The sequence below is a fragment of the Homo sapiens genome, chromosome 8 (genome assembly GCF_000001405.40).
Source record: "Homo sapiens chromosome 8, GRCh38.p14 Primary Assembly".
Lineage (NCBI taxonomy): Eukaryota > Metazoa > Chordata > Mammalia > Primates > Hominidae > Homo > Homo sapiens.
In genome coordinates, this window is record NC_000008.11 from 33,997,491 (window position 1) to 34,021,941 (window position 24,451).

At 39.1% G+C, this 24,451-nt stretch overlaps 1 long non-coding RNA gene across 5 annotated transcripts in view, besides 1 other annotated feature; it reads left to right on the forward strand.

Annotated features, from left to right (window-relative positions):
• The window catches only part of LOC105379364 (uncharacterized), a 535,736-nt gene that overhangs the window by 275,109 nt on the left and 236,176 nt on the right, over positions 1-24,451 (forward strand). For 3 of the 5 annotated variants that reach the window (NR_189606.1, NR_189608.1, NR_189609.1), the window contains exon 3: positions 10,366-10,465. The exons of the other annotated variants lie outside the window; for them this stretch is intronic. This is a non-coding gene — a long non-coding RNA (uncharacterized LOC105379364). The remainder of the gene's footprint in view (positions 1-10,365; positions 10,466-24,451) is intronic. 5 annotated transcript variants of the gene reach the window in all.
• Positions 17,168-17,368: a silencer, noted in NCBI's record as "peak6990 fragment used in MPRA reporter construct". NCBI's record gives its function as "represses an SCP1 promoter by STARR-seq MPRAs in K562 erythroleukemia cells {active_cell/tissue: K562}" and the evidence as "EXISTENCE:reporter gene assay evidence [ECO:0000049][PMID:32103011]".

Sequence of the window (24,451 nt, forward strand, 5' to 3'; positions counted from 1 at the left end):
CAAGGATTTTTCAAATACAAAGTTATGAAGATGTGTTACATACTAATGCATCACAGATGGGGTTCTCACTTCAATTAGAGCTGGCTTTAGAACATCAAGGGTTAATGTTAGGAGAATGGGAAGTGTTTGAGCAAAGGAAGTGTTTTGGAAATACGGTGCCATGCATGTTTCCGAGTTCTATTTGACTCTTTATTGGTAAAATGACTGCAATAGCAATTGGTGAATTTTTTTCAGACCTTTCTGGAGTTCTGATGAAGGCAGCTTCGCCTCAGCTAGGCCTTGAAGCCTGTTTCAGGAATTGAACAAAATCCAGGTGATTTGAAAAGTTCTGCATCACCTGCTTTTATCTTCATCATCACTAACCCAAGCAATGTCTGGAAATCTCCTTGAGCTCCGTACTTCCTTATGTTATCTTCTTTCAAAAAGCACATGGACTTCTACAGCCTTAATTTTTTTTTCTGTCTCCCAGAAATGAAGAGGAGGAAATATATTACCTAATTGCAGTCAAGCCCTCTAGGTAACAAAATCCCCTCTCCTTTCATTTCAGGGAGCTTGTATAAGCAAAAATGAAAGACAATCTCCGTCTTTTTTGCTAGCACACTGGGTAGGATGCTTTTATACCAGAGGATGAAATAAAAGAGGTCACTGTTCAGCGGGCCACTCTCTCAGTTAAGCGGCTCTGTTCTCAGCACTTTGTGAATACTAAGGTTACCTCATCCCCATGGCTATCAGAATATGAATTGTATGGTCTTGAAAATGCCTAATGGTTCTACCTGTCCATTTGAAGTTTAAAAGTATATCACTCTTACAGCTTGGCTTTGGTTTGCAGTGCTGGGTACTAGAAGGGCAGAAATGGAGCTGCTCTTACAGCATGCAGTGATAAGTGAGCTGCTCAGGGCAGAATATCATTGTTATGGATGTGGGGGTAGAAATCTCCAGTCTAATGGGCATTTTACAGCTTTGTTTAGATTGGCTTATTTTCCTCTGGCTGAGTACCAGTGTCTTGAAGTGTCATATTCAGAGCCTGCCTCTCATCTCCAGTATCGTTGAGTATTATGTTGAAACCAGAACATGCTGCTGGGGCAAAGAGCTTGGGAGAAGATGGTTTGGAATGGGGCTATTATAAATAGCTTGTAGAGTTACCAGTGAAAAGTGATAGGCCTCAATGTATCAGCTAAGGTTTTATGCAAGATAAAACATCTCAAAATTATCATACAGAAGTCTCAGCTACACTGTCAGGATAGATTAAAGAGAACTGCTACAGGATGACTTTCTTTCTTTCTTTTCTTTTTTTTTTTTCTTTTTTTTTTTTTTTTAATGGAGTTTCACTCTTGTTGCCCAGGCTGGAGTGCAATGGTGTGATCTCAGCTCACTGCGACCTCTGCGTCCTGGCTCAGCTTCCCAAGTAGCTGGGGTTACAGGTGCCTGCCACCACGCCCAGCTAATTTTGTGTATTTTTAGCAGAGATGGGGTTTTACCATGTTGGCCAGGCTGGTCTCAAACTCCTGATCTCAGGTGATCCACCTGCCTCAGCCTCACAGTGTGCTGGGATTACAGGTGTGAGCCACTGTGCCTGGCCTCAGGATGACTTTCTATTGCATATATGCTGTGTGGCATATGCAAAGTCACTTTATCTGTGTGTGCCTCTTAAATTTGTGGTGGAACTCATTCATTCCTAAAATCCATTTTGATTCTATATGTAATTCTAAAAGCTGAGAATTCTCAGTTACAGACTATTTTCTTGACACATAATGGCATGTTTTATACCCTGGGATTTCCTGGAAGTATGTTTGAGAATGTAGAGCCATTCCACATGATGCTTACTTAATGTTTGATAATTCATTTACTTTTATTCATTCAATAAATATTTATCACTCATCTTTTATGTGATGGACACTGTTGTAGGCACTGGATTACACTGATGAGAAAAAGATAGCTTCTGCCAACAAAAATTCTTTTCAGTGGGCCGGGCGCGGTGGCTCACACCTGTAATCCCAGCACTTTGGGAGGCCGAGGCGGGTGGATCATGAGGTCAGGAGATCGAGACCATCCTGGCTAACAAGGTGAAACCCCGTCTCTACTAAAAATACAAAAAATTAGCTGGGCGCGGTGGCGGGCGCCTGTAGTCCCAGCTACTCGGGAGGCTGAGGCAGGAGAATGGCGTGAACCCGGGAAGCGGAGCTTGCAGTGAGCCGAGATTGCGCCACTGCAGTCCGCAGTCCGACCTGGGCGACAGAGCGAGACTCCGTCTCAAAAAAAAAAAAAAAAAAAAAAAAAAAAAAAAAAAAATTCTTTTCAGTGGTGAAATGGTCAAATATGCTACAAAACAGAGCTGTGAAATGATGTTAATATAGTACTCTAGCAGTGATTTTCAACAAGGATTGACTTGCCCCATAGAGGACATTTGGCAGTGTCCGGAGACAGTTTTGGTTGTCAGAACTGGGGAACTGTGGTACTGGCAACTAATGGGTAGAGGCCAGGAAATTTGCTAAACATCCTACAGAACGGTGCCCTATGGCAAAGAATTATCCAGCCTCAAATGTCAATAGTACTGAGGTTGACAAACACTTGGTTATAGAATAAAAAAACATAATGCCTAATTGAAACAGTAGGTCCTTGGGAGCTCATCTAGCTTTCAAATCAATTCTACCTGAGTGTGAAAGGGAAATGGCAAAAAGCATTCTAATGATTTGATGTTTGAGTTGAGTTATGAAAGATGGGTAGATATTAACCAGATGAATTAGTGGAGAATGAGAAGGAGGATATGTAGAAAAGCTTTCCAAGGAGACGAACCACACAGATTTGGGGGGTGACAGATCTTGGCATCATCACTGATTGGCAAGTGGTTCTTTATAGCCTGAACACCTGTAGGATCTGCAAAGACAGAATGATAGGGTGCAAGGTCTTGGCTAAAATACTGAAGAGCTTGGATTACTTCTTAGATGTAATAGTGATCCAGTGAATTATATCAAAAAATAGAGTGACTTGATCAAATCTGCATTTTCTAATGATCAGTTTTTTTGGGAGGAAGGTGGTGGTTCTAATAGGGTGAGGCTGAAGGGTGGGACACTAGTGAGATTTTTTTTTTTTTGAGACAGAGTTTCGCTCTTGTTACCCAGGCTGGAGTGCAATGGCATGATCTTGGCTCACTGCAACCTCCGCCTCCTGGGTTCAAGTGATTCTCCTGCCTCAGCCTCCCAAATAGCTGGGATTACAGGCATGTGCCACCATGCCTGGCTATTTTTTTTTTTTTTTTGTATTTTTAGTAGAGATGGGGTTTCTCCATGTTGGTCAGGCTGGTCTTGAACTCCCAACCTCAGGTGATCTGCCCACCTCAGCCTCCCAAAGTGCTGGGATTACAGGTGTGAGCCACCGTGCCCAGCTGACGTTTTTGTATTTATTCCAGGTGAGCACTGCTGAGAGCCTGAATGGGCAGTGATCATGCAAATGAAAATAAAGTCACAGATTAGAGACTTTTAGAAAGTAGTGTTGTTAGGAGAGGTAGCCAGTTAGTTGTGGGTATTTTAGAACAGGAACTATTAGAAGATAACTCTCAGGTTCCAGCACCACCAGATAAATAGTGTTAGCTTTTAACAAGTTAGGGAATACAAAAGGAGAAGTAGTTTTGGGTGAGAGAGAGCTGTAAAAGAGATGGTGAATCCCTGTGTCATGGAAGGAAATCATGAAACCAGTCTAATTAAAACCATCAGTCACTGGGGGTTCATCTAGCTTTCAAACTTGGCTTTGAATAAAACATATGAAATGATTTCCTAAAAGATAACCTGACTTGTTAGCTTGGTTGAAAGATGGAAATACAAGGAGGCGTCTATTCTGACAGGTTTACAAGCAGCAAAAACTCATAAGGACATCCCTGTCAGAATTGTCTGCTTGGCCTTTATTGGAAGCAATTATTCTGGACAACTGAAGCATATTTATAAGGGCACCAGCTAGAAATGGCTCAGTCTCTGTTACCTTGATTGTAGCTCACTCTTTCTCATCATGTAGATGGTGACCACAGGTGTAAAGAACCCTGTAGCCATGTTGACTCTGCTTACTTGATTGGGTACTACAGTTGGGAAGAGGACCTGGTCTCCAAAAGAACAGGGGCCCCTGGGATAATCAGTTTGGATTACTCTTGTCTCTGTGCTTTGTAAGTTTCTTGGCCATTTGAAATTGCAAGAGACTTTAGTCTTGCTGGGATAGCTTCAGATTATCCTTCCTATAGACTGTTTTTTTTTCTTCAGATCTAATGCTATACAACAGGAAATTGGTCTGTGCTGAGTTTCTGAGATCTGCATTTGGGAGCTAAAATATTTTCCTGTGTTTCCCTTATAACTTGGCTGCTGGCTTGAGTGTGCCCTTTTTAGGCTACAGAAGTTGGGTGAGATTTTATGGTTGGGTAGGAAAATCTATTTTGCCCTACTTTTTAAAACAGCATCCTATGTTATAGCAGTAAGATCCCTGTGATTTTACTCTTGCCCGAACAATTCTACTAAACGAGCTGATGTTATTAAACACTGGCAATATGTCAGGTTTTTACATGAGCTGACTGATTTAAGTTTCATATTTTTATTTGAAATAGTCATTGTCCCTTTTTCAGATGAGAAAACTGTGACTCAAAGATGTAACACTAGCAAGTGACAAGGTTATAACCCTTTCCCATGGCTCCACCTGGCTCAATGCTGTATTTTAAATGCCAGATGGCTTCTTAGCCTCCTGCTTTTCCTGAAATATTGCAAATGGCAGAGCTTTAACTATAACGCTGAACCCTCCTGCATGCAAGGCAATATTCACGTATTCTTAGTGACACTCCATTCTTCTCTCATTTTGAATGTTGTTCTATTTTGAATTTTAGTTGTGTGCATGCTTGTCATCCCCTATTAGACTGATAGTTCAAATATATGAAATCATTGTAGGTCTGTTTTTTTCTGTCTGTGGCTTTATTCATGCTTGTGCAGTCTTGTTTTCTTGTGTAAATGGTAATATATGACAGCCCCTGGATATTCTTGAAAAATTATTTGTGAGAATAGAGAAGCTTTGTGTTTGTTTCTGCTAGACATTGATAGACATCTCCAGAATGAACTGCTGTGGACCAATTCAGGGTTGAAGAGTCTCTTGCCCATGCAGCCTATGCATAGGATACCCAGGATCATTGAACACCCTTTATTTTTTATTTATTTTTTATTTTATTTTTTTTTCAGACCGAGTTTCACTCTTATTGTCTAGGCTGGAGTGCAGTGGCACAATCTCGGCTCACTGCAACCTCTGCCTCCTGGGTTCAAATCATTCTCCTGCCTCAGCCTTCCTGAATACCTGGGATTACAGGCATGTGCCACCACGCCCAGCTAATTTTGTATTTTTAGGAGAGACGGGGTTTCTCCATGTTGGTCAGGCTGGTCATGAACTCCCAACTTCAGATGATCTGCCTGCCTCGGCCTCTCAAAGTGCTGGGATTATAGGCGTGAGCGAACACACCCGGCCCATTGAACACCTCTTAAGGGCAAGTGGGCAGCTACTAGGTATGATTTATGTTTGCCTTTCACTTTTCTTCTCCATTTCTGGTCTGCCACGGAGGCAGCCCTCTCTGAATTTTCACTGGTTGGGGAAAGAAGAGGAACTGTTTAGAGCTAGTTTACCCTTACCTTGATAGAGTGACACCTGGGGCCCCAGCTCTCTATCAGGATGGTTTCACAAAGCTCCTCTTGTATTACTGTGTTCTCATGCTGCTAATAAAGATACACCCGAGAGTGGGTAATTTGTAAAGGAAAGAGGTTTAACGGACTCACAGTTCAGCATGGCTGGGGAGGTCTCAGGAAACTTACAATCATGTGGAAGGGGAAGCAAACACACCCTTCTTCACGTGGCAGCAACAAGTAGAAGAATGAGAGCCAAGCAAAGGGGGAAGTCCTTTATAAAACCGTTAGATCTTGTGAGAACTCACTATCACAAGAACAGCATGAGGGTAACCACCCTCGTGATTAAATTACCTCCCACTGGGTCCCTCCCATGATGTGGGGATTATGGGAACCACAGTTCAAGATTTGGTTGGGGACACGGCCAAACCATATCATGCCACCCCGGCCCCTCCCAAACCTCATGTCCTCTCATTTCAAAACAGAATCACACCCTTTCAACAATACTTCAAAGTCTTAACTAATTCCAGCATTAACTCAAAAGTCCAAGTCCAAAGTCTCATCTGAGGCAAGGCAAGTACCTTCTACCTATGAGTCTGTAAAATCAAAAGCAAGTTAGTTACTTCCTAGATACAATGGTGGTATAGGCATTGGGTAAATATAGCCATTCCAAGTGAGAGAAATTTGCCAAAACAAAGGGCCTTATAGGGCTCATGCAAGTCCAAAATCCAATAAGGCCGTCATTGAACCTTAGAGTTCTAAAATGATCTCCTTTGACTCCATGTCTCATATCCAGGGCACATTGATGCAATGGGTGGGCTCCCACAGCCTTGAGCAGCAGCTCTACCCCTGTGGCATTGTAGAGTACAGCCCCCTTACCCCAGTTGCTTTCACAGCTGGTGTTGAGTATCTATGGCTTTTCCAGGTGCACAGTATAAGCTGTTGGTGGATCTACCATTTGGGGGTCTGGAAGACAATGACCCTCTTCTCACAACTCCACTATACAGTGCCCCAGTGGGGACTCTGTATGGGGGCTCCCACCCTACATTTCCCTTCTACACTGCCCTAGCAGAGGTTCTTCATGAGGACTCTGTCCATGCAGCAAACTTTTTCCTGAACATCCAGGCATTTCCATATATCCTCTCAACTCTAGGCGGAGGTTCCCAAACCTCAGTTTTTGACTTCTGTGCACCTGCAGACTAAACACCACATGGAAGCCACCAAGTCTTGGGGCTTGTAACCTCTGAAGCCACGGCTCAAGTTGTGCCTTGGTCCCTTTTAGCCACAGATGGAGCACCTCAGATGCAGGGCACCAAGTCCTGAGGCTGCACATGGCAGAGGTCCCTGGATCCTTCCCAGGAAACCATTTTTCCCTCCTAGGCCTCCAGGCCTGTGATGGGAGGAGCTGCCAGGAAGATTTCCAAAATGCTCTAGAGACATTTTCCCCATTTTCTTGGAAATTAACATTTGGTCCCTCATTACTTTTGCAAATTTTTACTGCTGGCTTGAATTTCTCCCCAGAAAATGGGTGTTTCTTTTCTACTACCTTGTCAGCCTGCAAAATTTTCAAACTTTTATGCTCTACTTCCTCTTGAACATTTTGCTGCTTAGAAATTTCTTCTACCAGATACCCTAAATCATCTCTCTCAAGTTCAAAGTTCCACAGATCTCTAGGGCAGGGGCAAAATGCTGCTAGTCTCTTTGCATAGCAAGAGTGACCTTTACTCTAGTTCCCAAAAAGCTCTTCATCTCCCATCTAAGAGCACCTCAGCCTGGACTTTATTGTCCATTTCACTGTCAGCATTTTGGTCAACGCTATTTAACAAGTCTTTAGGAAGTTTCAAACTTTCCCACATATTCCTGTCTTCTGAACCTTCCAAGTCTCTAGAAAGTTCCAAACTTTCTCACATTTTTCTGTCTTCTTCTGAGTCTACCAGACTGCTCCAACCTCTGCCTGTTACCTAGTTCCAAAGTTGCTTCCATATTTTTGGTTATCTTTACAGCAGCCCCCTACTCTACCAGTACCAATTTACTGTATTAATCTCTTCATACACTGCTAATAAAGATATACCCAAGACTGGGTAATTAATAAAGGAAAGAAGTTTAATTGACTCACAGTTCAGCATGGCTGGAGAGGCCTCAGGAAACTTACAATCATGGCAGATGGGGAAGCAAACACATCCTTCTTCATATGGCAGCAGCAAGGAGAAGTGCTGAGCAAAGAGGGAAAAGCCCTTCATAAAACTATCAGATGTCCTGAGAACTCACTCACAAGAACAGCATAAGGGTAACTGCCCTCATGATTCAATTACCTCCCACTGAGTCCCTCTCACGACATATGGGGATTATGGGAACTATAATTCAAGATGAGATTTGGTTGGGGACACAGCCAAACCATATCACCCTTGAACTCTAAATCTCTAGCCACATGTGGCTAATGCTCTCTACTTGAACACAGTGTTTGTGGTATCAGCAACTGCCCTAAGGGAAAATGCAGCTCTGGTGTTCTGATCTTTACCTTACCTCTCTTCTTACAGACTTTCTTCCCCCCAAAATTGGCCTGAGGTATCTCACTGTATTTTTAAGGTCTTTAGTGTTTCTATTTAGACAAATTTTACCCAGCATTTTACTTTGGGTATATGAATATAAGTTAGAGAAAGTTGGTATTATTAATATCAATAATTATGCTGATAAAGCCATCATGTTGATAAAAGAAAAACTGCATTTTAAGTTATATTCAAAGCTTGTAAAGGATGATTTTGAGTCAATATGTAGGTCTTTGCAGGGAAGATTTGAATTTCTCCCCAGAAAATGGGTGTTTCTATTACAGAAACACCACTTGAGAACAACAATTAGGACTAAAAACTGGGATGTCATCACGAGAACCAATTTAATACGACCCTTCAAAGGCCATATTAATAGAATAAAAGGGCCCTGGCTTGGGTTGAAAGTAAGAGATAGATAGTAAGAGGTAGATTGCAGAACACAGAAGGCAAAGAACTGCCCTAGAAAGGGGCTAGAATCTGACCAGCCCCATATGTCTATAATAATAATAACTTCTATTTGCACTACATTGTGTTGTTTGCAAAGTGTTTTAAAATACTATACCATTTGTTTTATTTAATTGTAACAATGACCTTAGGAAGAAGGTTATTATCATTAATATTTTACAGAAAATGCCCAAGAGCATATAGCTATGGGAGGCTTTGATAAGAAGACCCTGATCTTCAACACCTTGCCACATCCATATTCTATCTTCACCCTGAAGGAAGGCAGTTTCTTGTGTTCTAAACTGTCAGTTGAATGTGATGTTATTGGTGAGTTCATACTGCAGAAGGGACACAGAATATGATTAAGGATAATGAGTCTGCTGTTTGGGATAGTTGTCACAGTAACTCAAGGGTTCTTACAGGTTATTAGAATTTAATAGCAAAGTTATCCTAAAGAACAGCTCTGATTTCAAAGCTTCTATACTCTAAAACTTAGACTACCAATTGTGGTTGAGGCATTTCATTCTGTGGTTGCTGCCTGCCATGTCAGCCTTCCTATTTTTCATCTTATATATGGGTCATGAAATCATACCAGGCTACCAGACATGCTGTCCATTCTTTGCCCTTTCCTATCTTTGTCATGTGGCTGATGCGGTTGTCTCCTTTAGGAATGACATTTTCCATCATTTCTACCTGTAAAATCTTGCCTGTCTGTCAATGTCTTTCTCGTGTGCTGCTCTTCCATGAGATGGCCCATTTTTTTTCCTGCCCACCACTTGCCTGTTGATTATGTGTATTCCCATTGCATTTTGTTTCCTCTTTATAGCACAGGTTGCAAAAGTTACTAAAAAGCCAGGGGTTTTGGTCTAGGTCTTGCTGCTCACAGAATAGAAAGCCCATAACTGAGTCAAAAAGTATTGCCAGAGAAGGCTTTAGTCTGGTGCTGCAGCCAAGGAGAACAAAAGATACAATCTCTAACCTTCTCTCCAGTGGACTAAATTTGGGAGGGGGGCGGTTATATAGCAGGGAAGGTGGGAAAACAATAATCAGGGAAGGGTAAAGAAGCAGTCATGATGGGTGAGGGATCAGGCATTACTAGATGCAGTAATGTGAGTTCCAGTTCCTTTCCTGAGGGTCAGTTTCCTGAGGATAGAGCTCAACTGAGACAAATGTAAGTTTCAAGTTTTAAGACCAGGGAGGTACACTCTCTATGTTTATTATTGGGAAGAAAAAGCCTGTAAATATCAGTTCTATAGGACAATTAGGTTGGCTTTCCAAACTAAAATATGTGCATGAGCCAGCCTGGTTCCTTAAATAAGGGAGGTGGTTGAGTGTAAAAAACCTATTAAGATTATGGTGAGTTTTTGAGCTCCTTATCTAATAGGTAACTACCACTATGTTCTAGTCATTAAGCCCAAACTAATGTGAGTGTGAGTGTGTGTGTGTGTGTGTGTGTGTATGTGAGAGATCTCTTAGTTTGAAAAATATTGGTAAATAATTCAAATGTTTTTTGAAGAGATGGGGAGACAAAACAAAAATTCTCCTGAAGACTATGTTTGGCCCATTTCCCTAGTTTATGACCCTACTCTATAGAATTTGGAGACAAATAAATGGTACAAGTCAGAGTTTAATATGTCCATCATTAATTAAATATCTACAGAGAGCAAACATTCTATGGGATCATCCTTCTAACCTTAGAGTGTCTTTTGTGGAGTGACTTACACATTTTTGTTGAATTGCAGGAAACTTTTTGGGAAAGTTCCCCAAAACTTTGGGGAACTGTGTTCCCCTGAAGTTTGGAGGGTGAGGAGTGAAAGAGGTTGAGAAGAATGAGCTGGCTGGGTGAGTGTGCTACTTTAAACAAGTTGAGACTAATTTTTGTAAACTTTCATTTTGATGTTTTATTAACCACTGCTGTTGGTGAATTTAAATATTTTAATGATCAGTATATTTTACTCTTTGCATGCCCTGGGGCTTTCTTTCTTTCTTTTTTTTTTTTTTTTAAAGAAATGGCAGCTTAAAAAAATTAAAATAGACTCTCCATTCGATCAGCTTTCAAAATGCTTGGTGCTCACTCTGCCCTGAATCTGGGTCAGCATGGCATTTGATGACTAAGAAACCTGCATCTACCTCCCTAGCAGGCTTTCACTATGTTGAAATTGCTCTTTAAGTAATTTCATTTCTCTTGATTGAGCCTCTGCAAATTATTTCACGAAACAATTCTTCATTTTGAATGTGAATCTCCACACTTCCACAAAGCTGGGAGGAAGAAAAAAGCATTTATTACCACAAAAAACATTTGTTACCACTACATTTAAATCTTGCCTTTCTTTTCTTGCCTTTTTAACTATTAAATATCTTTTTTTCTCATAAACTATGTAAATGATAGATTGTGTATCTATGGGAAATCTCTGGTGTATATGTAAGTTCAGAGCTCCTTAAGGATATAAAGTATTTTTTAAAACAGGTTGGGGAAGGTGAATTTATTTTTCAATCTTAAAAAAAAAAACAGTGAAATGTTGGGCATTTTTTCGTTGGATTTTAGTTACACTTGGCCTCTGTATCCATGGGTTCTGCATCAGCAGATTCAACCAACAAAGAAGAAAAAATATTCTGGGGTGGGAGGGCAGAAAAAATTAAAAAATGATAAAACAAAAATAAGTAAAAATACAGTATAAGAACTATTTACGTAGTATTTACATTGTAGTAGGTATTACTAATAATCTAGAGATGATTTATAGGAGGATGTGCATAGGTTATGTGCAAATACTATGCCACTTTATATCAGGGACTTGAGCATCTGCAGATATTGGTATCTAAGGGGGTTCCTGGAACCAATCCCTATGGAAGGCACCATTGTAGTTTATTTCTTTGTGGCAAGGGTATTTGTTCTTGTGTCAGCATGCTAATGTAGTCATTCTTGAGAGGAGATTGTTTTTTTGCTTTGCTGCCTCTTTTTCCACGAAAGCATCATTTTCAGATGAAAGTTAGGGCCTTGACTCTTGTGCCTGGAGTTTCTTCCTGTTGATTCACACCACAGAGGGTTCCAACTGGGCCTTTTTCTGTTCCCTTCCTTCCTGTGGTTCATCCAGGATCTGTGCAGTGACCAAGTGTGGAGTCGTGATCTGTAACCATCCCTGGAAATTCTCCTACTTTATTGGTCCTATCTGTCCCATTTCCTCTCACTGTGCAGTCTTGCCTTTTTCAGTGCCAGTCTTGGCTAATTTCTCCCTCTCTGGGTTGGTATCTAATTCTGTAAATCATTGACCGGCGGGGTGTGGAGCCCGAGTTATGTCACAGAATTGTGATTTTTTTCATTCTTTCTCACTCAACCGTTCTGAATTGTCACTTTTCAGCCAATTCTTAGACATGAAGTTGAAAAAATATATAAATAGCTTTGTGACTTACCTGAGGGATTCTTTGACCTTTTATTTCCATTGTTTTCACTTTCCCCCCATCCTTAGTTGGAAATCAACAGTCTGCATTTAAAACAAAAACAAAACTCATTGTTCTACTCTACTAAACGTGAAGAGGAGTGGGGGGATTGTAAGACTCCACAGGGAAGAGTTTGGAGGGATTATAAATAGGAAAATAAAAAATGAGAAAAAATATGTAAACTTGGGTGTTTTAAAGGATTTGAAGGTATTCCCATGTAAGTGGATATAAAGTAGTAACATCCTCGATGTCATCTTCAGCTTCTTGGCCACACAGAAACGTATGTCCACATTATTCTGCTTTCTTGAGGCAACTTTATGCTGAATTCTGATCTAGAGGTAGATATACCATTAAGCTTAAGTTTCAGGCCTATCCAAGGCCCTGAGAGGGGGCCTAACAATGTGTTCACGGGGTGTATGTTCTACAAAATTTGCAAAAAATACTTTTAATTGTCATTGTTCATTTCCTACTCCCTTCTTCCCAGTGATCGGCTGTCCCCAGTGGCCCTTGGACATTTTAAGGAATTCTCTAAGGAGAAGTTGAATTAAGGACATTTTAGTTTGTGTTTAGTTAGCTACATTTTTGTGATATCTGTTCGTTCCATGGATAGTTAAATTACTGCCAGCCATCCCAGTTTAGGAAAGGATTCCAGGAATATTCCTACCAGAGCTATGCTGCCCCCAGAGTAGGGTAGTTAGTTATGGGGTTATCACTTAAAAGAAGATTTAAATATACAAGAAAACTTAATTGCTCTGAAATTTTACAGCTTTGATATGAAAGAAACTTAAGAGAGGTTTTTCCAACCAAATCTCGTATCTTCTCACTTATAAGTTAGGAGCTAAGCTATGAGGATACAAAGGCATAAGAATGATACAATAGTCTTTGGGAGCTTGTTGGGGGGAAGATGTGGGGGTGAGGGATAAAAGACTGTATTTTGGGTACAGTGTATACTGCTCAGGTGACAGGTGCACCAAAAATCTCAGAAATCACTGCTAAAGAAATTATCCGTGTAACAAAAAACCACCTGTACATCAAAAACTATTGAAATAAAATTAAAATACACACACACACACACACATTAATGAACATAAAAGAAAGGTTTTTCTATCTTTGGCAATCCTATATGTATATGTGACATCTACCAATATTGAGTTGTGATGCTGAGCCTTTTCTAAACTATTGATAATAAAAGGAAAACTTAAACAACTGAAGTTGAGTGAGATATTTAAAATCTTCTTAATGGAAAATTATTTTTATAAAATTATTATAATCATGCATTGTTTAACAACAGTGATGCATTCTCAGAAATGTGTCATTGGGCAATTTCTTTATTGTGAGGACATCATAGATTATGCTTACACAAACCTAGATGATATCGCCACTATACACCTAGGCTATATGGTGTAGCCTGTTGCTCCTAGGCTGTAAATCTGTACAGCTTGTTACTGTATTGAATACTGTAGGCAATTGTAACAAAATGGTATTTGTATATTTAAACATATCTAAGCCTAGAAAAGATACAGTAAAAATGATATTATAATCTTATGGGATCACCATCATATACGTGGTCCCTGGTTGATTTAAATGTTATGAGATGCTTGACTCTATATGAAGAGGTGATTGAAGTATGAGCAGTCAAAAATGAGAAGAAAATATCATAGATATTTGTCACAAAGTTAATTCGTGAAAATGTTATGCTATTTTCTGAATATTTGTCATGTTTGTGGCATCTGCCAGCTTTTAAAAATTTGTATTTGTTATGATCCTTTTCTGATTTATTTTTGTACCCTAGTTTTATATTTGAAATTTTGTGTTATTTTTCTTAGGGCCTTCAAGATTGTAAAAGGTTTTAGGCCCTACAAAACCTGGATCCATCCTTGATCTGACTTATCTGTAACCAGCTGATACTTTCTGTCCATCAGCTGAATGTGGTTAACTGAGGTACCCAGATTAAAAGCTTAGAGCCAACTTCAGATTCTGGGGAATGACTCTAGCCATGTGATGGCTACTCCCTGGTAGCAGTATGACCCCATTCCTTCTTGTTAATCCTAGATTAGCTACTTACCAGGTAGGACAAGGATTGAAGTGCTTTGGAAAATTTCCTGAAGTCATAAACCCGACTAGTTTAAAAATTGAATCATGCCATATACTGGGGAATCAGTATATACCCTCTGGGACTTCTGTATTGTAACTTGAAGTCTAAAAAATACTTTTAAGTAAGCAGACAAAAAAAAATTCTATTAGGACAAAGTGGGGTTAGGAGAAAAATCTTTATATAAAACCCACAAGAATTTTCAAGATTAGGATTCTAAATATTCTATGAAAGTCTATAACATAATCTAATAGGAGCCTTTATCATACTTACTTTGCTTTGTCCAAAATTAATATATGTAGTTCAGCTTTATTTGGTCAGGGTTAGCATGATATATGTTTTTTCATCTCTACTTTTATTCTATCTGGATCTTCAAAATGAGTTTCCTTTAGACAACATATAGTTGAGTCTTTTTTTAAAAAAAAATCTACTCCGACAATCTCCATCATTTAATTGGTGTATTTGAACATTTGCATTTAAAGGGATTATTGATCTAGTTGAAATAATGTCTACTATATTTGTATGTATTTTCTATTTGTTGTCCTTTTTTTTGCTTCTACTCATTTTCTTCCTTCCTTGATTTTAAGCATTTTACATGATTTCATTTCTTTCCTTTCTTAACATATTATAATTCCTTTTTAAAAAGATATTTTTTAGTGGTTACCCTAGAGTTTGCAATATACATTAATGACCAATCAAAATCCACTTTCAAATAACTATACTCCCTGTAAACCAAAAAGTGATTGAGAGCCGGGCATGGTGGCTCACGCCTGTAATCCCAGCACTTTGGGAGGCTGAGGCAGGTGGATCATGAGATCAGGAGTTCAAGACCAGCCTGGCCAAGATGGTGAAACCCCGTGTCTACTAAAAATCCAAAAAAATTAGCCAGGCCTGGTTGTGGATGCCTGTAATCCCAGCTACTTGGGAAGCTGAGGCAGAGAATTGTTTGAACCTGGGAGGCGGAGGTTGCAGTGAGCCGAGATCGTGCCACTGGACTCCAGTCTGGACAACAGAGGGGGAGACTCGTCTCAAAAAAAAAAAAAAAAAAAAAAAAAAAAAAGTGACTGAGGCAGGTATCTCAATCAATTAGAGGTTTATTTAACCAAGGTTGAGGAAGCCCAGGAAAAAACTCAAATCACAGGAGCATCTGTGATCTATGTTTTTTCCAAAGAGGGTTTTGTGAACTTTTGTATTTAAAGGGAAAAGAGCAAGCAGAAGGGAGACAAAAGGGAGGGGAGTATAGGTTGTGAGGCAGATGGTTACATTCTAGTGAGGCTCTGATGAGCTTCAGTGAATCTACATTTTACATGTGAAAAAAGAAGCTGGTCAATTATGCATTTTCTTGCACTCAGTAAATTTACATTTTATGTAAGATAAAGTAAACATGTGAAACGAGGGAGTAGAGGAAATGAGGCTGTGACATGGGAATGTGAAATTACAGCTACCTGTTTGAAAACAAAAGGGAAATAGTGTTGGCGGCTCAGTTCCCAAGGTTAACTTTCCCTTTGGCATAGTGAGTTTGTGGCCCCAAGATTCTATTTTTCTTTCACATGCCTCACAGATAGTACAAGTACCTTAAAACAGAGTATTCCTAATTTCTTCCTCCTGTCACTTATAACGTTTCTGTCATTCATTTCCCTTACCTATAAGCTATAATCACTGAATAAATGACAGAGCTACCAGAGGTAAAATTCACAAAAGTGTTGGGGACCCCCTGAAACTGGGCACCCTCTGAGTTTTTAATTCTCAAACTATTCAATACTGATCCTCTAGTAATTTGTCAATTATAATTTAAAATCTTCCCACCAATATGGTTTTTGCTGTGCACTTCTCCTCCTGGGCTTCTGATCTGTAAAGTTGTGAATCTCTGTATCTGCCTCTCTATCTTCAGTTTTGGTGATAGCAGTTTTTCTGTGGCCTTAATTCTCTGACAGATCTAATAAGGTTGTTGATTTTCAGTTTGTTCAGAATTTTCCTTGTTGTAAGGATGGGAGTGATGACTTTCAAGTTCTTGGACTTCCAGCCTCTAGAATTGTGAGAAAATAAATTTCTGTTGCTTAAGCCACTCTTCTGTGGCGTTCTGTGATGGCAGACCAAGTAGATTAATAGACTACACCTATTTCAGATAATATACTGGCAATGCAGCAATGAAGAGTTTACTAGCTCAACAGTGACTGACAGATCTTAGAATTAAAATGATTACTTTCTAAAAATTTGCATTGTGTTAGATGCCTACTTTCTTGTAAAGGAGCTCTTTGAAATAATTTTTAAACTTGGGTTAGAAAAAAATGTAAGAAAACATTGCTGTAAACAAAGAAAAAAGAGAGTCTCCAAACTTTTTTTTTTTTTTTTTTTTTATCATATTACCTTGTAGATGAAGGTCCAAAGCTATGCACTAATGTTAACCGAGTAGGCCACAAATAGAAAAATGGTTGAAATTTACATATGAAGATTTGTCAAGATAGAATAAAACAAATGCAGTCACCTATAAACATATATTAAACAGAATCTCTGAAAAAAACATGTGAAGTGCCAGATGAAAAAGCTGAGTGTGATAGCTGTATTGAACAGGAGACAGAGTCAGGTACTGTGATGAGGAGGGGTAGCTCCATAGCTCACTAGTGTTTTTGTCTTTGATAAGCTGTCTAATGCCTCTAGCTTTATTTTCCTTGGAGCACGATGATATAGTAATCCTATCCTGGCCATATTGCAATGTGTTTGGGGGGATTAAGTGATATTGAGAATGTGAACAGGCCTTGGCATCTTATATTACTGGAGAGTGAGTATTGCTGTGAGGATAATGGACGTAATGTAGGAGACAGCTTCTAATCCAGTGCTCAGCCCAAAGTAGGGACACTTTATAAATGGTTCTAGAATAAATGATGACTGTTAAATGGCCTAAACTGAAACTATAATATTCTGGATTCTAATCTTCTGGAGGCTTTAAAGATATGCTCTAGGGTTTTTAGAAATGTAACAGGTATAGTGAATCTAGAACTCTCAGGGTGTAATACATTTTTTTTTTTTACCAACCCTGTCCAATTTACATTTCATCCATGGGTGAGTTATTTTTCTTTGTTCTTAAGAGGGAAATTTGACATATCCTGTAATTTTTCTGCTCATTCTTAGGTAACGTAGTCATAAGATCATGAGTCACAAAGCACTAACTCTGTTCTGTTTGTTTTATTTGTAACTGTTCAGTACTCCGTTCAAGATATTAATAAGTCTTCTTCAATCTTCCATTAAAAGTCCTCTCCTTTCCTTGGATATGTACTTGGGTTGCAGGCTACCTTCAGGGCTGGTTTCTTTTCTCTCACTCACTCACAAGTGAGTGACTTTTACTATTTTGGGCCTCTGGTTTGGGAGATAAGAGACTGAGAGATAAAGGGATAAAGAAGACCTTACTTTAACTGGGCTACTTCAAGCTCTCTGGGCCTAGACAACGGTTAGAACGGACTCTTTCTTGGTACGTCAATGGATTCTTCACAACTTCCAGTTATTGTCAACTCTTGAAACTTAGGTATCGTTACTTTATTTCTCAGGCTGCCACGTGCCTCTAAGCACCTGATTCTCTGGTGGTTTACTTCAGTTGCTGTTCTTTTTGTGTTCTTATTGACTTGGGATAGGATTTTAAAGGGCTATGGCCCAGGTCTCTTTCTCATGAGTCTATATTTGCATCAAAGACACATTCTTGTAACCATTTTGCTCGCAAGACTAAGAAGGTGTAGGGGGATTCCAATGATGTCAGTTTATCCTGCTGCCATAGGATAGCTATTTTAGAGTCATATCAGGATCACATGGAACACATAGAAAGCTCTTCCAAAGCTCCCTCTTGCTGTGATTGGGTGAAATTTTAGCATCTCTCTCACCAGCACTGCATCTCCCCATAGCCCCCACCTTTACTGGGGAGGACTCTGCAGTTCAACAGCTCTTTCTAAGGAAAATCTTACAAATCCTTCTTGTTTCTCTACTTTCTAACTTGGCTTATATCCTTGATCCTTCTGAAAGGTCCAAGATTTATGAAACCATGCCTCAGCTATCTCTTTTAAATTTTCCACATGAGAATCATCCCACATTCACAGTGGTATCTGATACGTCTTATAGTGATGCTTTTGTTGAAACTTCAGTATCACACCCTACTACAAAAACAATAAATTATCTCCATTAAACTATAGATTTAATCCTGAGGGATTAAATCTGTAACTTTTTATAGAATGGGACCCACAAAGATTCCATTGTGAAGAATTACACTTTTAAGAAGATTGGAAAATTAATGCCCTAGTGAAACACTTTGTTCAAGAATGTGTCCATATTTCTAAGTGAATATTCTTTATTTAACAAAATATGAATCTGCTATGTGAATAGCACTGAGGTTATTTTTGGGCAAGTATCACTACTATTGTGACCACTATTAAAGCCTACAGTCAGGTAACCAGAAAGCTATACAGGGAACTCCTTGCCCTTCAGATCTGGGCAAAATATTCTATTTTGTTGGATTCCATGCTTCTCCCCCATTGTCTCCCAACATTTCATTATTTTTAGTAATTTTGTTAAAGATATGCAGGCTGATGACAGGCAGATGGAGGGATTATGTCAGCAAATGTTCAATTTTTTGACATCTCACAGAATCTGCGTCTTCCTCTCTCTTTCTCTTCCCTCCTTCTCCAGAGTAACTAGCAATTTCTTTCCCCCATTTTTCTCAGATCAGTTCTATCCTTAGGCCTTGTTGGAGTTGTATCTTGCACACTCAGCCCTTTTCTAAGCAGATACAGTTCACTTCATAGTGGAAATTTTGGTGCATCTAATTTATCCTTCAAATTATATCAATAATAACCTAATCCACACTTGGAGAACACACTGCAGTTTATAAAACATGTGAATCTACATGGCCTTTTGTTTTTTTTTATTTTCTTAGGGTGCAGATAATATAGGCATTATTATTTGCACCTTATAGACATAGGACTGTTAAAATATTATCTGGATTAGTGGAATTTGTAATAGAGGAGAGAAGACATATAAATTATAAATTATGAAAAAAGATAATTTTAAAAGTATGCATAAATAGTGTAATGTAGTATAGATTAGATAGCAATTACTTTGGATCTGATAAACCAGAGGAGACTTTGGGAAAGAGAAAAACATTTTTTCTGACTACTAAAAAGAGACAGCTTTTTTGTCCACTCAAAAACCTTTTTTGAAGGTTTGACATGATCCCTCCATCTGCCTGTCATCAGCCTGCATATCTTTAACAAAATTACTAAAAATAATGAAATGTTGGGAGAGAGACAATGGGGGAGGGACGTGGAATCCAACATGATAGAATATTTTGCACAGATCTGAAGGGCAAGGAGTTCCCTATATAGCTTCAAAAAAGGTTTCTAGAGAAGAAAATTCTAAGCAGATAGGTTTGTCAGAGTATGTAGGTGAGAAAGCAGGCAACATGTTTAAGAATATGACTGATTTCTAGGGGCTGAACTGCAGAAGGTTAGTTTGTGGCCAGTGGACGAGGGAATGGTTGCAGGGAAATTTAAAGTGCTGTGAACAATTTCCTCTTGTTTTATTTTCTATTTTCAATTAGATAAAAAAAACTGATAGTAAGTACCTATAACCAGATACATGTGAGGATTTGTGTTGGCACAATCAATCATTCATAGGCTCATTCTGTTTAAAAATTAAATCTATAGAAACTAACAGAGCTACATGGAATTGTTTGTAAAAATATTTATTCTCATGGGTGTATTACTCTTATGTTACTGGCAACAATGTTAACAAGATGCAACTACTTTTTGGAATTATCTTATCAAAGGAGGGCATTTCCTATCATTTTAAATAAACATCCTCCCAAAGTTTTATATTGGAAAATCTGAATGCAGGTTCTTTCCTGTTACAGACAATAGTTAGAGGGTGTGTTGTTGATGGCATTAAAAGGTATATTAAGGAATTTGTACTTTATTTGCTGTGCAAAGCAGTATTTAAAGGTTTTGAACAGAGAAGGAAATTGTCTAACCCTACTAGGTATGAGATACATAATCCAGTAGGTTCTTTAGTTTTTATAGATAAGAACATAGAATTTTTAAATCTGTCTACAATCTAGTGGTAGGTGAGAAGATATCTATCTAACATTGTTTCTTTCAAAAATATTATTTAAGCACCTACTATGTGCCCAACACTTTTAGGGTCTGGACAGGCAGAAACCCTGCTGGTGATGGGCCAAGAATGTAATAGAGAGATAAACACCACCACCAAAAAACAAAGAAAAAAATAGTGAACATGATTATTTCAATTATTTATAAAGTGGAAAATTTCATACAAATAAGAACCAGAATAAGAAAATAACTTGTGTGTCAGCGTGGCTACTTAAGATTGGGAGGTAAATTTTGAGCTGAGACCTAAATGCCAGGAAGACACAAATCATGTGGAAATGGGTTGAAGAGATTTCCAGGCATGGAGTAGAATAAGGGGAAGCATCCCAAGGCAGGAGAAAGCTTAGGCTATTAAACAGAAAAATAGCTGAGTAAGCAAGGATGGAATGAGAGGAAGTTATACAGGGAAGCACAGGCCAAGTCCTGGGCAGGCTGGGCCATGGAAATAACTTATTGTATTCTCAGTGTGATACGGGAAGCCATTGAAGGAGATTAATTTAGGAAGTGAGGCAGTCTGATATTTATTTTAACTTTGATTTTTAAATTGACAAAATAGTTGTACATATTTATGAGGGACAGTGATGTTTTCATATATGCAATGTATAGTGATCACATCTGGGTAATTAGCATATCTATTATCTCAAACATTTATCATTTGTGTTGGAAATAATCAATATTCTCCTAGCAATTTATAACTATATATTATTGTTAATTATAGTTATCATATGGTGCTATAAAACGCTAGAACTTATTTCTCCTATGTAGCTATAATTTTGTATCCTTTAACAATATTACCAAGCAGAGCTGACTCATTACCATGGGGATGGCACCAAGCCATTCAGGAGGGATCCAACACCCATGATCCAAACACCTCTCACTAGGCCCACCTCCAACATTGGGGATAATGTTTCAACATGAGATTTGGAAGGGCCACACATCCAAACCATATCATTCCCTTCCCCGGCCCTTCCCAGTCACTAGTATCCTCTGTTCTACTTATTTCTTATTTCTTTTTTTTTTTTTTTTTTGAGACGGAGTCTCGCTGTGTCGCCGGGGCTGGAGTGCAGTGGCGCGATCTCGGCTCACTGCAAGCTTCGCCTCCCGGGTTCACACCATTCTCCTGCCTCAGCCTCCCGAGTAGCTCGGACAACAGGCGCCCACCACCACGCCCGGCTAATTTTTTGTATTTTTAGTGGAGACGGGGTTTCACCGTGTGACCCAGGATGGTCTCTATCTCCTGACCTTGTGATCTGCCCACCTCGGCCTCCCAAAGTGCTGGGATTACAGGCATGAGCCACTGCGCCCGGCTCTGTTCTACTTATTTCTATGAGATCAATGTCTTCAGCTTTGGCATATGACTGGGAACATGTGAAAGATCTCTCTGGCCTCTGTGTGGATAATTCTTTATAAGAAAGTAAAGAGAAACAATATGACCAGTAAGGATGCCATCTTAGTTTCCATGCTGGAGATGATTGGTGCTTGGGATAAGTTATGAGAGCATTTAGTGGCTTGGATTAGGTTGGGTTGGAGTCTCAAGTGGGTAGCAAATTTCTGAGGGAAAGAAAAAAGAACAACATGTCATTTTATCTGTGACAGCAGCATCATGAATCCTAATTATAATGGATTATGTAGACAAAAGATCATTCACATCTCTTTAAGGAGATATACCACCAGAACCAGTTTAGCATTACAAATCTATATAAAGGAATCAGTGATTTAGAAGGCTGTTGCTTAGAAAACACGGGTAGTTAATTTCATAGAGAAATCTTTGTTTTCATTTCCCAATGCTGGACTGCTAGCATAATGATTTCAAATATTCAAGATACATAAATGTATATTTAATTAATTTTTTTTTTTTTGAGACGGAGTCTTGCAATGTCACCCAGGCTAGAGTGCAGTGGGGTGATCTCGGCTCACTGCAATCTCCGCCTCCCGAGTTCAAGGGATTCTCCTGCCTCAGCCTCCCAAGTAGCTAGGGTTACAGGCACCAACCACTACGCCCGGCTAATTTTTTTTTTTTTTTTTTTTTTGTATTTTTAGTAGAGATGGGGTTTCACCATCTTGGCTGGGCTGGTCTTGAACTTCTGACCTGCCTCAGCCTTCCACAGTGCCAGGATTACAGGCGTGAGCCACAGTGCCCAGCTTATTAAAAATTTTAAAAATAAAATTATAATTATATATAATAAAATTATACAGATATGTAAAAAATTAGTACAGAAGAATTTTCAATGAAAAGCAGCAATCTCTTGCTCCAACTGATCTAATCCCAGTCTTATTTCCTGGAATGAACTTTCAATACTCCCTTTTAGTTTTTCTGAATGTGCAAATTCAAAATAGTAAGGTTATGCCATTCTTCTTCTTCTTTTTTTTTTGAGACGGAGTCTCACTCTGTTGCCCAGGCTGGAACGCAGTGGTGCGATCTCTGCTCACTGCAACCTCCGCCTCCCAGGTTCAAGCAATTCTACTGCCTCCGCCTCCTGAGTAGCTGGGACTACAGGTGGCTGCCACTATGCCTGGCTAATTTTTGTATTTTTAGTAGAGATGGGGTTTTGCCATGTTGGCCAGTCTGGTCTCGAACTCCTGAGCTCAAATGATTCTCCCACCTTGGCCTCCCAAAGTGCTGGGATTATAGGCGTAAGCCACTGTGCCCAGCCCTTATACCATTCTTTATTGGTGTATATTTATTGATATATTTACTATAGATGTTGCTCGACTTTCTGCTGGAAACCTAACCTCAACATCAACCCATGTGCTAACCCTAACCTTATAATCTCACTTACATTGCCTGTCTCCCATATAATTACACAAATATTCTGAGTTTAACCAACTTCACTGGTTAACTTTGCAACCGCAAAAAGGTGACTTAAGTCACAATTATTTTCTCCATGGGTTACACCATGGGGTATATTGATAGTCCCTGTTCCCACCACCCATGTAACCTCTGTTACCTCTACTTTTTTTTATTGTCAGGATGAATAACATTCATTTCTTCGCTTTTATTATCTCTCAACAAAAAAGGGATTTAGAAAGTGAATATATAGAAAAGATTTTGAGAAAAATTTGTTTTTGTTTTTTTTTCCTATTTCTATTGCTCGTGCAGCCTGCTCCTTCCATGTTTAGCTTTCTTGTGTTAAAGTAAACCATTTAGTATTTTTTTCTATGAGGTCTACGAGAGTAGCACATTCTTAAACTTTTTCTGAAAATATATTTTTTATGTTTACATTTGAGTGATAGTGTGACTTAGAGTAGAAATCAAGGATAATAATTATTTCTTTTAGCACTTTGAAAATATGATTGCATTGTCTTATCAATGGGGTATCTGTTGCCAATTTGTTGATCCTGTTAGATGATGTGTTTCTGATTTTTAAATCTCTGGTGTGGTAGCAGATCCAGTAAGTTATCTGTGGCTATCTACTATTTTTTCTTAGAATAGAATTAAGCCGGACGTGGTGGCTCATGCCTGTAATCCCAGCACTCTGGGAGGCTGAGACAGGTAGATCCCTTGAGGTCAGGAGATCGAGACCAGCCTGGCCAACATGGCGAAACCCTGTCTCTACTAAAAATACAAAAATTAGCCAATCATGGTGGTGCATGCCTGTAATCCCAGCTACTCAGAAGGCTGAGGGAGGGGAATTGCTTGAACCTAGGAGGTGGAGGTTGCAGTGAGCCGAGACCGTACCACTGCACTACAACCTGGGCAACAGAGTGAGACCCTATCTCAAAAAAAAAAAAAAAAAAAGCTAGCATATGGGTTCACAGATCTCACCTTCACAGTTTGGTTTAACTATGTGGTTAAGTTATACCAAGGTGTATGCGTATGCACCTTCAAGTAAGGGGCTTTAAAAAATGTACATGGACCCTTGCTTCCTACTTCCAGGGATGCCAAGAACTACAGAAGCTATACTGGACCCAGATACCCAACCAGTCCTAGAACACTTACCTACAGAACTATGCTGTCATTATGGTGGCCAATAGTCACATGTGGCCATTGACTACTTAAAATACGACCAGTGCATCCGAGGAACTGAATTTTAAATTTTACTTCACTTTGAATAACTTAAATTTAAATGCTAATATTTGATTTGGGAGTTGAAAACTTTTGAAAATGTTTGTAACAATTTGGGTATGTGAATGTACTTTTTTCACAGTAAATGAAAA